The following is a 13766-nucleotide window of genomic DNA, read 5'->3' on the forward strand; positions in this document are numbered from 1 at the left end:
GGTTGCCTCTTACATAAAGGTGATCATTGAAACTATTAAAGAAGTAGACGAGATTACCAAGGGAGAAACTTATAAGAGGAGCTTGGAAAGGCCAGTGACAGAAATTTGGGAAAAGACACATTCAGCAGTGTAAGGAGAACAAATGGTCAATGAAAAAGACTTCAGTGACGTATGGAGACGACAATGGGACCATGTGAAAAAATCAAGTAAGAAGATAATTTTAACATTCATACCTGAGTGTCAAACATTCTATAATGAGGAAAATTAGACTTAAATAAAGCTACTAGGTTTCCTTAATGGGACATTATTGGTGACTTTCAAGATAATCACTGGAGAACAAAAATCGAGGACAGTAAATTAAAGAGTGAATGGAAAGCGATGAAGCAGAAGCCAGACTGTGTGGGTTATAGAATATTTAAAAAAATATATGATTCTGTAATGCAGATATTTTTAATACAAATCTTTGTGCTTTGAAATATAAAAAATTAGATGTGTAGCTGAAAAACAGGTGCATAGTTAGCCAAGTTAAAGGAAAAGAGGGATTATCTTGTTACCAAATCTGTATCTCTTAATGGTGGCGATTTGGGCAGTTATGTGACCTTTTATTATCAAACTTAAAATGTCATTTCAGGTTTAACACACTTTCCTTTGTAATTTCTCCCTAATAATGACCACCTTGTAAAACGAACATGAAAATGATCATTTCAGGGAGGAAGTAAAAGTTTCATAGTCAAAACTCGTGCTTTGAGGTAGTTGGTAAGGGAAAGGTAGCAACAAGTACCATATGGAGAGAAACAGGTTGATTTTATTTAGAAATTCAGAGTTTATGCTAGTAACCACAACTGCAAAAGCTTTACTTATAATTGGAGCAAAATCAGTAGTTACTAAAGAAAGTAAGCAGGAAGAGAGGCAAAGCAAGTTGCTCTGCTATAGATGCAGATTGGTGAAGAAACCCTTATTCTGTTCCTCAGGACACCATTAATTTGCAAATAACAAGGGGGGAATTTTTCAGCAAGAAATGTATTTCTTTATCAGTGTTACAGATATAATGAACAAACAGAGGAGAGTATGCAAATCAGTAGATAAATGATGAATTCCAATTTTGAATGATGAAGTCAGAACTGATGGCTACTAGTAGCATTTTTTGACCATTTATTAAGCTACATTAGCTCACTTCCTGAGAAATCCTTGAAAGCTTTTAAATTGAAGTAATTTCTTAACATGTGCCATGAAATTGAGCTAAATTAAAGCTCTGTGGATTTTTGACTGATGTAAATTTCTTTATGGGAGAACCCAGTTATTTATCTGCTGTATGTTTAAAGATACATGAAATTCACCAATCTAGGAGCATAAAATACTGTGGAGGGGGAGTAGTTTATCCTTAGCTAATAGAGTCTTTAAAAATATAATGATTAGAAGTAACAAAGTGGCACATATGAAAATAGTTAAAACTGATTATATGGTATTTCTATTTTTTTTTGGTAAAACACAAATATTAATTGAGTATACAGTAAGTCCTCTGGTTAAATATATACGCACATAGATTTTAGTTAGATAAGATGTACATTATATTTGTGAAATTGATTACCAGGATATTTTTCAAGTTCTCCATTGTAAGGATATTTACAGTAAAAAGGATATTTACTTGCAACCTAGAAGTGCATGCACATTTCCAAAGTATATATCAGCGAAACTAAATTTAGCCAATAACTAAATTTATTTACTGAAATTAAATTATTGTCAAATATGCTTTTGGTGTTAATAGAACACAATCACTTAAAAAAATATGTGATGTAGGAAATCTATTGGCATCATAAGTGGTTTCTTTGGGTAATATATCCAAACATTTAAATATTGATCAATGTTATGACCTTTTAAAGGCCAAAGTAGTTACTTTCTGCCTGTACTCTTTTTTAATCTTCTTTTCATCTTCCATAAGACAACTGACATATATCCACAAGAAGTGCCATAGTGAACCTGATGGACCTGGGATTGCAGCATTAACTAGTGAGGAGCGAACTCGATGGGCTAAGGTTCTGATTTACACTTTTCTTAACGAAGCTTTTCTCTAACAAACTCTTTTGATGTATTGTATTTCAGTTGTAATATTTGATCATCATCTCCTTGCCCTTTAGGCACGAGAATATCTGATTGGTCTTGATCCAGAGAACTTGGCTTTGTTAGAAAAAATTCAGAGTAGTTTACTGGTATATTCCATGGAGGATAGCAGTCCACATGTAACACCAGAGGATTATTCTGAGGTACTTAACTACCTTCTCTTTTTTTTTTTATTGCAGATTTTTCTGGAAGACTCATATTTATTGAACATGGAAGTTTTTTTTCTTTTTCTACCTTTAGGCTCTTGAAACTTTTTCTTAGTTATACAATATACTTGTGCCAAATTGAAGCTTATAAAGTAGATAGTAAATTGGTAAATCCTTGCCACATTGTTTAAGTTTGTTTAGCTATATATTATACTTTGTTTAAAGAAGTATGACTTTGCATATCACATATCAGTGTTGCTCAACCTTTTCATTGCTTGCCTACTCAGAAAATTTACACAGAGCACTAGGTTAATGAGCTTTTCTTGCCAAAGGTGAAATGATAACCTAATCATAACCTGCACTAGTGTATCTTGACACCATAGTTGGGACTGTGTCTCCTAAGAATTATGTCACCCTTGTAAGTCATTTATTTTATCATTTGGTTAATTGCTGAACACATTGATGTCAGTGACGTTAAGGGTAAATATGGCCTTATTTTATGCTCCCCTGCCACCCCCAGGGTGACATTTGTGTCCCAGGAAATAATAAAAGATAGTAATTGTATTAGAAATCTCATAGTCTTTTGAAAATACTTAATTATTTTATAGTGAATTAATCGGTATTAAATAATAGGAAAAAATATCAAGGATTGGAAAACCTTGTAGCAAGGAGAGAGATTTTTTTTTTTTTTTGAGAATCACCAGACTTCTTTTTAAGGAAGAATGTATTTTAATGCAGTGTTGTTCAAAGTTTTTTGACCACAATTTTTAGTTACAAATACATTTAGATTGCAGCCCACTATATATACATGTGTATATGCATGCAAACACATATATAAAATAGGAGTTTCACAGAGCACTAATTACTTTTATTGTCTGTGAGGTACACTGATATTTCCAGTCTATTTTATTCTCCTTTTTTGTAAGGAATATTGATTATGATGCACTGAGTTAATTTCATGATCCATTAATAGGCCAAAGTATACAGTTTGAAAAACAGGTTTAGTAGGAAACGAATTCTTAAAATATTTCCTCCTAACTAGACTTTAATGACTAAACTTTTATCAAGATCTTTTATCCTATTCAAGTTACAAAACCCTTATCCTCTCAATTCTATGTTCTGTAAACATTCATGAATATTGTACCAGCATTTTCTTTTCTGGTAGGATTTTCTTAACTTGAGATTTTGAGAAGCCCCTAAAGTCAGGGCCAGAATTACTCTCTCTTGACTTTGCATATCACATATCAGTGTTGCTGATCATAACTATATTATGATTTTATTAAATTTGGTTGACGTGAAGAGGAATGGTGAGATGATATATGTGTTTAAGATGTAAATTCTTACAAACCAATATTAAACCCTTTTAATTTGGAAAAATTAAATTTATTTTAGATTATTGCAGCCATCCTTATTGGAGATCCAACAGTACGCTGGGGTGACAAATCCTATAACTTGATTTCCTTTTCTAATGGAGTATTTGGCTGTAATTGTGATGTAAGTAAACTACTGAAATTTTTCTCTTTTGATCTTTTAGGTTAAATTAATGACAATAAACCATAAATACTTGTGCTGGGGAACAGTGTAAGTGAATAGTAATTTAGTTTTATGGCACTGTGGTGAAAAGTTTAGTTATGAATTCTCATTGAAAGTATAGGACAAGTTATTTTCTTCTGTAGTAAGGCCAACAGTTTGTTGTGTACTATATCTGCAAAATGGGATTTGCATATAATATTTATGTAATATAAGCTCTTAAAACCCAGTATTATCTGCTTGCTGAGAATACCTATTTCAAAAGGTATTATATGGCATTATGTATGTGTTCTATGCAGAGCAATGCATATGGATATATTTATAGAGTTCAAGATTCACCTAGTAACTAGGTAACTATTTTCCTAAAATGACACATAATCTTTGGAACACTATTTAGGCTGTGGATATTAAAATGGCAGTTACTACCATTTTGACCATTTTCATAAAAAATGAACAACTTTTCTTGCTTCTCCTCTGTTCCCCTCCCATGGACATCTTCACTAGCTGTCTACTAACTGTCTGATAGGCATTCAGGAGGTCTATGAACCAAGAAAATTTTTTATAAAGGGGTTTGGGGCTGGGTATGATGGCTGATACCTGTAATCCCAGCACTTTGGGAGGCCAAGGCAGGTGAATCACTTGAGCCCAGGAGATGGAGACTGGTCTGGGCAATGGCATGAAACCCCGTCTCTACAAAAAATACAAAAATTAGCCTCACATGGTGTTGTGCGCCTGTGATCCCAGCTACTTGGGAGGCTGAGGTCTAGGAGGATCGCTTGAACCTGGGAGGTTGAGGGTGCAGTGAACAGTGTTTGGGCCAGTGCACTTCAGCCTGGGAAACAGACTGAGACTCCGACTCCAAAAAAAAAAAAAAAAGGGTTCAGTAGTTGTATTAATCCATATTCAGGTTTAGGTGATAGAAACCTAAATCAAACTAGCGTTAGCGTAAGAAGATATTTGTTGGCAAGGAGTTAGCTAAATTTGGGTAAAGCTGACTTCAATGTTCAAATGCTTTCATTAGAAATCTCTCCCCATTTTTTGGTACTGCTTTCTTTTGTTTGGCCTCATATTTAGGTAGACTGCCCAATGTGATTGTTGTACCAACAGTCTCATATCTTCATAGCTTTCTTCATAGACTCCCAAAGGAAATAGTCAGCTTCTTTGTTTCCAATGGTTACAGCAAAAGTCCTGGAATAATCCTCATCAGTTGTGATTGGCCTGTGTGATTCATGTCCCCATCCTGGGGAATCAGGTGCTTGGATGAGCTTGGCCTGGGTCACATGCCCAACCTTGGAATCTAGTGGGTAGAATCAGTCTCATTCAAACCACTACAAAGTGGTGCTTGGTTGCCTAAAGAACAGTAAAGTAGCTGTTATTTCAGAACAAGGTGGATTGGTTAATAGGCACTGAAAGTAAATGTCTATTGGAGTATCTCATCAGAGCTACAGTGAAAAGTTGCCACAAGTCATTTATTTTGAAGATGTTCTCTTTACTCTTCCTTTGAGTCTACTGTTGACAGAATAGTTCTTGTTAATTGCCTCAGTTTTCTTCTCTTCAGCTCCTCATTTGATTCTCCTTGACCTTCCTCAGTCTGGTTTATGTCCTTACCATTCCTTGCAAACTACCCTTTGTAAGGTGGTTAACTGCCCCCTGGCTTCTTCCCTTCATTTCCCTTTGACCTGTCTGCTGCAGTTGGTTACCCTCTGCATACATATTTTGACACTGCCTCTTTCCTCTTAACAGTATTTTCCTCTCTACTGATTCTGAAACTGACCTTAATATTCATCACACTTTTCCCCCTCTGACCACTTTATTGACCTATTGTTATATATGTAACTTGCAGCTATACTTTTCTAGCTTTTACCTATTATTCTCATTTGAGAGTTGTGTTTCATTATATGTTAAATTGTTCAAATTGGATGTTATATTGTTATATAAGAGTAAGTCAATCTCATCAAGAATAACTCATCTTGCTTTCCGTCCCTCATCCCCAAGACCATCAAAAAACACCTTTTGCTAAACTGATTTTTACTAATAGCACCAGTATCCTGCTGTTCACACAAATTCAAGATGAAAATAATTTTGATAATCTTGTCTGTCTCTGAATAAAGAATATTGGGCTCATAATGAGCATATCTCTCAGCATAACTGAACTGCTTTTTTATAGTGTGCGGACATGTTTTATGTGTGTGCATTAACATGCATATATTCATAAAATTGATCTGATTATCTCCACCTGATAATTTGCATTAAATTCCATGGAGGTTTCCCTTCTAACCTAAGATGATTATAGAGGGTGCAGTTTAACCTTTGTAAATCATCATTAGTGAAATACATATGCTGTAGGCCAAACATGGGAGCTCATGCCTATAATCCCAGCACTTTGGGAGACGAAGGTGGGAGGATTTGATTCCAGCAGTTCAGCACCAGCTTGGGCAACATAGTGAGACCCTCATCTCTACAAAAAATAAAAAATTAGTTGGGCATGGTAATGCATACCTATACTCCCAACTACTTGGGAGGCTGAGGTGGGAGGATCACTTGAGCCTAGGAGGTCCAGGTTGCAGTGAGCCATGGTTGTACCACTGCACTCCCACCCAGGCAACAGAACAAGACCCTGTCCCAAAAATAATAATAAGAAGAAAAATAAGCATATGTACTGTAAAATAAAGCTTATTTTACCCTAAAGCCATGTTGCTGGTCCATAATTTTAATTGTTTGAATATGTTCTTTTGTGATTATATTAATTCCATTTCCCTCCTATTTTATAAACCTGAAGTCAACTATATTGTCTTCTCTATATTGTAGGCTTTATTGTAAGGCTTTGCAGAGGGTGCATAGGAAGCATGTAAAAACTTTAGTTAATAATAACAATAGTTACTAATTATTGCTGTGAGCTAGATCCTTGGTAAGTACTGTGTAAGTGGTATAAAAATCATTTTTCACAGCATCTGTATGTATGTATGCATTATCTCTACAGGGAAATGAGGCAGTTTAATTAGAAAGCAAAGTAACTTTTTTACTATTGCCCAGCTAGGAAGTAGTTTGAACTCAGAACCAAAGCCTACATTCTTAAACACTATGTAAATACATATTGCCTCTGTGTAAGTGCAAGAAATGAAAGGTAAAAATTATGTGAACAAATAAAGCATCAGGATAGCATTGGAATTTTATATATTTTCTACCTTCTTTGAGATTATTAGCTTTCCATTAGGAGATGGGTGCTTAGAATTATAGCTCAAAGAGACATCCTTCACTCTTGCTATTTCCTACTGGCTCCAGTAAAATAGTTGGAAACTGATGCTGTTTGTCTTAAATGAAACAATATATTTGATAATATCTGAAAATTCTTTGTAAAATTGTAAAGTACCACACAGTTGTGAGATACTGTTAGAAAATGGGTTTGTCAGCGACCTGTGAGTCTTGTCATGTGTGCTGTTGTTGGCAGATAAACTGCTCAGGCATCTTATACTGACCTCCCTCAAGAGCCTTTCCTGATGTAGTTGTTGCCTGGTTGGTAACAATAAATCCTGTTTATAGGCTCCGCTGGGCCATGATACAGGCTACAGAGCTATAGTGTTAGGGTGACATTTAAGACACCTAATTACTCCTCTGAAACTGGGCCCATATCTTGATACTACTTCCCTTCTTTCCCTCCCAAGCTCGCAGTGTCACGTTCAGATCATGAATGATATCTGTGTCTAATGTAAAGTGGTGACAGTCACAAGGAACCGTCTGATGTAACTTTTATCTAAGGAACATGGGGAAAATGCGGGCAAAAACTTTGTTCTTCAAAATAGATGATGGGAAAATTCACTAACTGCAATTTCTTTCTCTAAATACACCTGGCAAACCTGAAACAGCCCCGTAACACCCAGCCTATCTTTCCCACATTTCTTAAACTGAGAATTATCACATTGGGACATTCATATGTATAAAAAACACAAAATGGTTATGCTTTCTAATATTCACTAAGTGGCCTAAGTCCTTACCTAAAGAAGTTCATGCCCATCCCAAATGCTTTCAGATAGGTTGCCATCCCCATCTGCTTTTCCACCCTGTTCTTACAATTCCAGAACATCTTCGTGTTGCATATATACACTTGCTTTGACTTCTAGTAAAAATAGCAATTAATTTATCTAGATTGTTTATATGTTATTTTATACACCCTCATGACCCCAAGCCCCACCAGAAGCCCTACTAGGTGCTTCCAAATTTAAACAACTTTTTTTCCAAAAAATAAAATATAGCAGTTACTGAACTGTAGGGAATCTTCTATCTTATCATATCCTCAAGAGGTGAGGCATTTGAAGACTCTATGCTTTATTATCTGTTAAGAATGGACACAAAGTGAAAATAAAATATTGGGTCAAGTTTTAAGTTGACATAAAGTATTCAGAAATCTTGTGTGTTCTCATTTTAGCATGCTCCTTTTGATGCAATGATTATGGTGAACATCAGTTATTATGTGGATGAGAAAATTTTTCAGAATGAAGGAAGATGGAAGGTATGTTTGAATAAATATTTCATCTTTTTTCTCCTAATAGTTCTATAGATAAAATATTTTTAAGTCTTCCCTATTTTCAGGGTTCAGAGAAGGTACGAGATATACCACTTCCAGAAGAGCTCATTTTCATTGTGGATGAGAAAGTTTTAAATGACATCAACCAAGCTAAAGCCCAGTATCTCAGGGAGGTATATTTTTCACTTTTCTCTTAAATAATAATGATTTTTTCTTTTAACAACCATATGTAAAAATTTGGCTGTCATCCAAGCATGTCTGCACAAAACATTTTAAAATTATGCCTTTAACACCTTTAATTCTTTATGTCTGGTGATTACTTTAATGCAGGTGATAATTTGCTTCTCTTTGGTGTATTCTCCTTAGGTGATTTTTCACCGTTCTCATTTAATTCTTCTTGTTAGGCATCTGATCTACAGATTGCGGCTTATGCCTTTACATCTTTTGGCAAAAAGCTAACCAAGAACAAGATGCTTCACCCGGATACGTTTATTCAGCTTGCACTTCAGCTGGCCTATTACAGACTTCATGGACAGTAAGGACCATTCAGTTTCTATTTTCACAGTCTTGAAGTCCAAGGGTATATCTTTTTTTATAGCTATTTCATCCTAACTCCTCAGTATTTTTGCTCACTTTTTTCCCAGCTGGTACTGTGTCCTATTTGTACTTCCATCAATAGAGTATTAGATTTCTGATCTGTGGTGGTTTCACAGTTTTTCCTTGTTACTTTATCACAGTATCCACTTGATAACTTTTGACGTGTCTATTCTCATCTGAAAGAGGATTGGTCATCTTTGGCATTCAGATCGCTTGGTTTTCTTGCAACGTCAGTTTTCTGATGGGTTCATGAAAAGTTGTGATTTTATAAATTATCCAGCCTTTACTCATTTTTAGAATAGGAGCGACATTAATTTTGTGACTTAATACATCCTAAGAAGAAGTAGAAGTCCCTCAATGTTGCTTTTTCATTGATAAATAAGTTATAATTGAACATATTTATCAGGTACATGTGATTTTTTTGATACATGCATAAAATGTGTAATGGTCAAATCACGGTAATTGGGATGTCCACTGCCTCAACCATTTATTACGTCTTCGTGTGGGGAATGTTCCAAGTCTTCTCTTCTTGGTATTTTGAAATATACAACAAATTATTGTTAACTATAGTCAACCTACTGTGCTATCGAACACTAGAAGTTATTCCATCTAACTGTACCATTATACCCATTAGCTAACTTCTCTTCAATCTCCTCTCCCCCCTACTCATCCCAATCTCTGTTAACCACCATTTTACTGTCTACTTCCACGAGATCAATTTTTTTTAACTCCCATATATAGGTGAGAACCTGCAGTATTTGTCTTTCTATTTCTGGATTATTTCACTTAACAAAAAGTTATCCAGCCTTACCCATGTTGCTGCAAATGAAGGGATTTCATTCTTTGTTTTTTTATTTTGGCTGAGTAATATTCCATTGTGTATGTATATCACTTTTTTTTTTTTTTTTGAGTCAGAGTCTTGCTCTGTCGCCCAGGTTGGAGTGCAGTGGCATGGTCTTGGTTCCCTGCAACCTCTACCTCCTGGGTTCAAGCAATTCTCCCTGCCTCAGCCTCCTGAGTAGCTGGGATTACAGGTGCCTGCCACCATGCCTGGCTAATTTTTATAGTTTTAGTAGAGATGGGGTTTCGTCGTGTTGGCCAGGCTGGTCTCTAACTCCTGAGCTCAGGTGATCTGCGTGCCTTGGCCTCCCAAAGTGCTGGGATTAGAGGTGTGAGCCACCACGCCCGGCCCACATTTTCTTTATCCATACATCTGCTGGACACTTAGGTTGATTCTATATCTTGACTATTGTGAATAGTGCTGCAATAAACATTGGAGTGTGGCTATCTCTTTGATATATTGATTTCCTTTCTCTTGGATATATACCTAGCAGTGGGATCATCAGATTGTAGGGTAGTTCTTTTTTTTTTAGTTTTGTGAGGCACTTTCAGACTGTTCGCCATAGTGGCTGTACTAATTTACATTTCCACCAACAATGTATGAGGGTTCCCTTTTCTCCACATCTTTGCTAGCATCTGTTATTGCCTATCTTTTTGATAAAAGTGATTTTTAACTAGGGTGAGGTGATGTCTCATTGTAGTTTTAATTTGCATTTCCCGATGATTAGTGATGTTGAGCATTTTTCATATACTTGTTGGCTGTTTGTATGTCTTCTTTTGAGAAATGTCTATTAAGATCATTTGTCACTGGGCGCATGGCTCACACCTGTAGTCCCAGCAATTTGGGAGGCCGAGGTGGGCAGATCACCTGAGGTCAGGAGTTTGAGACCAGCCTGGCCAACATAGCGAAACCCTGTCTCTACTAAAAATACAAAAATTAGCCTGATGTAGGGGCACATATCTGTACCTCTACCTACTCAGGAGGCTGAGGCACGAGAATCCCTTGAACCTGGGAGGCAGAGGTTGCAGTGAGCTGAGATCGTGCCACTGCACTCCAGCCTGGGCGACAGAGCAAGACACTGTCTAACAACAACAAAAAAGATTATTTGTCCATTTTAGATCAGATAAATTTGTGTGTTGCTATTGAGTTTTTTAAGTTCCTTATATATTCTGATTATTAATTTCTTGGGAGATGGATAGTTTGCAGATATTTTCTCCCATTCTGTGGGCTGCTGATTGTTTCCTCTGCAGTGCAGAAGCTTTTTAACTTCATATGATCCCATTCGTCCATTTCTGCTTTGGCTTCCATACTTGTAGGGTATTACTCAAGAAATATTTGCCCAGTTCAGTGTCTTACAGAGCATCCTCAATGTTTTCTTTTAGTAGTTTTATAGTTTCAGGTCTTATATTTAAGCCTTTAATCCATTTTGATTTGAATTTTGTACACGGTAAGAGATAGTGGTCCAGTTTCATTCTTCTGCATATGGATATCCAGTTTTCATGGAGCCATTTATTGAAGAGCCTGTCCTTTCCTTTGCTGAAAAGGAGATGCCTGTAAATACACGGATTTATTTCTGGGTTCTCTATTCTGTTCCATTGGTCTGTATGTCTGTTTTTATGCCAGTAACATGCTGTTTTGGTTACTATAGTTTGGCGGTATATTTTGAAGTTTGGTAATGTGATACCTCAAGCTTTTTTTTTTTTCCCCTGGTATTGCATTGGCTATTCTGGGTCTTTTGTGGTTCCATATGAATTTTTGGATTTTTTTTTCCTATTTTTGTGAAGAATATTGTTGGTATTTTGATAGGAATTGCATTGAATATGTAGATTGCTTTGGGTAGGATGGACATTTTAACAATATTAATTCTTCTAATTAATGAACATAGGTTGTCTTTCCATTTTTTGGTGTTCTCTCACTTTCATCAGTGTCTTATAGTCTTCCTTGTATTGATTTTTTTACTTTTTTGGTTCAGTTGATTCCTAGGTATTTTATATTCTTTGTAGCTATTGTAAATGGGATTGCTTTCTTGATTTGTTTTTCAGATTGTTTGCTTTTTGCATATAGAAATGCTACTGATTTTAATATGTTGATTTTATATCTTGCAACTTTACTGAATTTGTTTATCACTCTAATGGCTGTTTGTTGGTGTCTTAAGTATTAGATCATGTCATCTGCAGACAGGACAATTTGACTTTTTCCTTTGCAATTTGAGTGCTCTTTATTTCATTCTCTTTTCTAATTGCTTTGGCTAGGACTTCCAATACTATGTTGCATAAAAGTGGTGAAAGTAGGCATCTTTGTCATGTTCTAGATCTTAGAGGAAAGTCTTGCAATTTTTCCATGTTCAGTATGATGTTAGCTCTGGATTTGTCATATGTGGCTTTTATTGTTTTGATGTATATTTCTTCTTTACTGAGTTTGTTGAAAATTTTTTTTATCATGAAGGTATGTTTAATTTTATCAAATGCTTTTCAGCATCTATTGAAATGATTATAGGGTTTTTGTCCTTTATTCTGTTGATGTGATATATCATGCTTATTAATTTGCATATGTTGAACCATCTGAATCCCACTTAATCATGGTGAGTGATCTTTTTAATGTGCTGTTGAGTTCAGTTTGCTAGTATTTTGTTGAGGATTTCTGCATCTGTGTTCATCTGGGATACTGCTCTGTAGTTTACTTCTTTAGTTGTGTCCTTTTCTGGTTTTGGTATTAGGATAATGCTGTCTTCATAGAATGAGATTGAAAATATTCTGCCCTCTTCAATTTTTTGGAATAGTTTGAGTATAATTGGTATTAGTTCTTTTTTTAAAGGTTTATTAGAATTCAGCAGTGAAGCCATCAGGTCCTAAGCTTTTGCTTAATGGGAGACTTTTTATTGCTTCAATCATATTACTTGTTATTGGTCTGTTTGGGTTTTCTATGTCTTTATGTTTCAATCTCAGGTTGTATGTGTCCAGGAATTTATCCATTCCTTCTAGGTTTTCCAATTTGTTGGCATATAGTTACTCATAATAGTGTCTAATGATCCTTTATATTTCTGTGGTATTGGTTACCATATCTCCTTTCATCTCTGAATTTATTTATTTGAGTCTTTTCCTTTTTCCTTATTCTACCTACAGATTTGTCAATATTGTTTATCTTGTCAAAAAATTGACTTTTGGAGCTCTTGTAAAAGTTCAGATTGCTTACTGTTGTGGACTTGGAGTGTCTGCAACGAAAGGATACCCTGGCTGTGTGGGAAGGCTGGCTAGGGCTTTATAGCCTCATGGACTCATGGAGCGTGCTTCCTACACCGTAACACTGCTGAACAACCTCTTTGATTTGGTGTCTTTTTTGGCTGAGATGAAGAGTGATCACTGAGTTTTGTTCATTGGGGATTGCTAACCCCATCTCTACCCATTGTCTCTGGCTGCCTTTAGGATTTTTTTACCCTATAGGCAAAGATGCTTCCCTTAGGTTGAAGCAGGAATGATTTTTCTGTGAAGGAACCCAGCATGGAGATAAGGGTGTCTGTCTGCCTTGATCTCACTTCTTTCAGTGTAGTATTGTGAGTCCATGGGAGTTTTTCCACATGCGGCCTGGCAGCTTGAGGGCGGGGTGTTGTGGATAGAGTGGTCTGTTTCTCTTACCTTCTGCTTGAAGTTTTTTGCTTCTCTCTGGCCCCTGGGATCATCACAGCCTCCATTTTGGTTTCTGGGATACTCCTGAGGATAATTGGTACTAGATAGTTGTTTTGGTTTTCTGTGGGGAAGAGTGAAGCCAGATTGCTTCTACTCTGCCATTATGGTAACATGACTCCTCTCAGTTTTGCTTTTTTATCTAGTCTGAGAATATCTGTCTTTAAATATGTTATTTAGATAATTAAATTCAGTATAATTATCAGTAAATTTGTGTTTAAGTCTACCATCTTGCTCTTTATTTTCTAGTTATCCCATCTGTACTTTTTTCTTTTTCTTTTGAATTTTTAGAGCTTTAAAAAAATTGCTTCATTTTATTTCCAACATGAGCT

General features: G+C 35.8%; 2 protein-coding genes across 14 annotated transcripts in view; one reads left to right on the forward strand and one right to left on the reverse strand.

Annotated features, from left to right (window-relative positions):
- The window catches only part of CROT (carnitine O-octanoyltransferase), a 54131-nt gene that overhangs the window by 28029 nt on the left and 12336 nt on the right, over positions 1-13766 (forward strand). For all 3 annotated transcript variants that reach the window (NM_001143935.2, NM_021151.4, XM_011516337.4), the window contains 6 exons: positions 1940-2033; positions 2136-2261; positions 3657-3758; positions 8218-8301; positions 8382-8489; positions 8721-8851. In NM_001143935.2, the coding sequence (NP_001137407.1) occupies positions 1940-2033; positions 2136-2261; positions 3657-3758; positions 8218-8301; positions 8382-8489; positions 8721-8851 (645 nt within the window). The remainder of the gene's footprint in view (positions 1-1939; positions 2034-2135; positions 2262-3656; positions 3759-8217; positions 8302-8381; positions 8490-8720; positions 8852-13766) is intronic.
- ABCB4 (ATP binding cassette subfamily B member 4) overlaps positions 1-13766 on the reverse strand; it is a 110132-nt gene that overhangs the window by 7797 nt on the left and 88569 nt on the right. For 10 of the 11 annotated variants that reach the window (XR_007060047.1, XR_007060046.1, XR_007060050.1 and 7 more), the window contains one exon: positions 786-5144. The exons of the other annotated variant lie outside the window; for it this stretch is intronic. The gene's annotated coding sequence lies outside the window, so the exon portion shown is untranslated. Of the gene's footprint in view, positions 1-785; positions 5145-13766 lie in introns of those variants that run through there. 11 annotated transcript variants of the gene reach the window in all.

The sequence above is a fragment of the Homo sapiens genome, chromosome 7 (assembly GCF_000001405.40).
Source record: "Homo sapiens chromosome 7, GRCh38.p14 Primary Assembly".
In the NCBI taxonomy this organism is placed as follows: domain Eukaryota; kingdom Metazoa; phylum Chordata; class Mammalia; order Primates; family Hominidae; genus Homo; species Homo sapiens.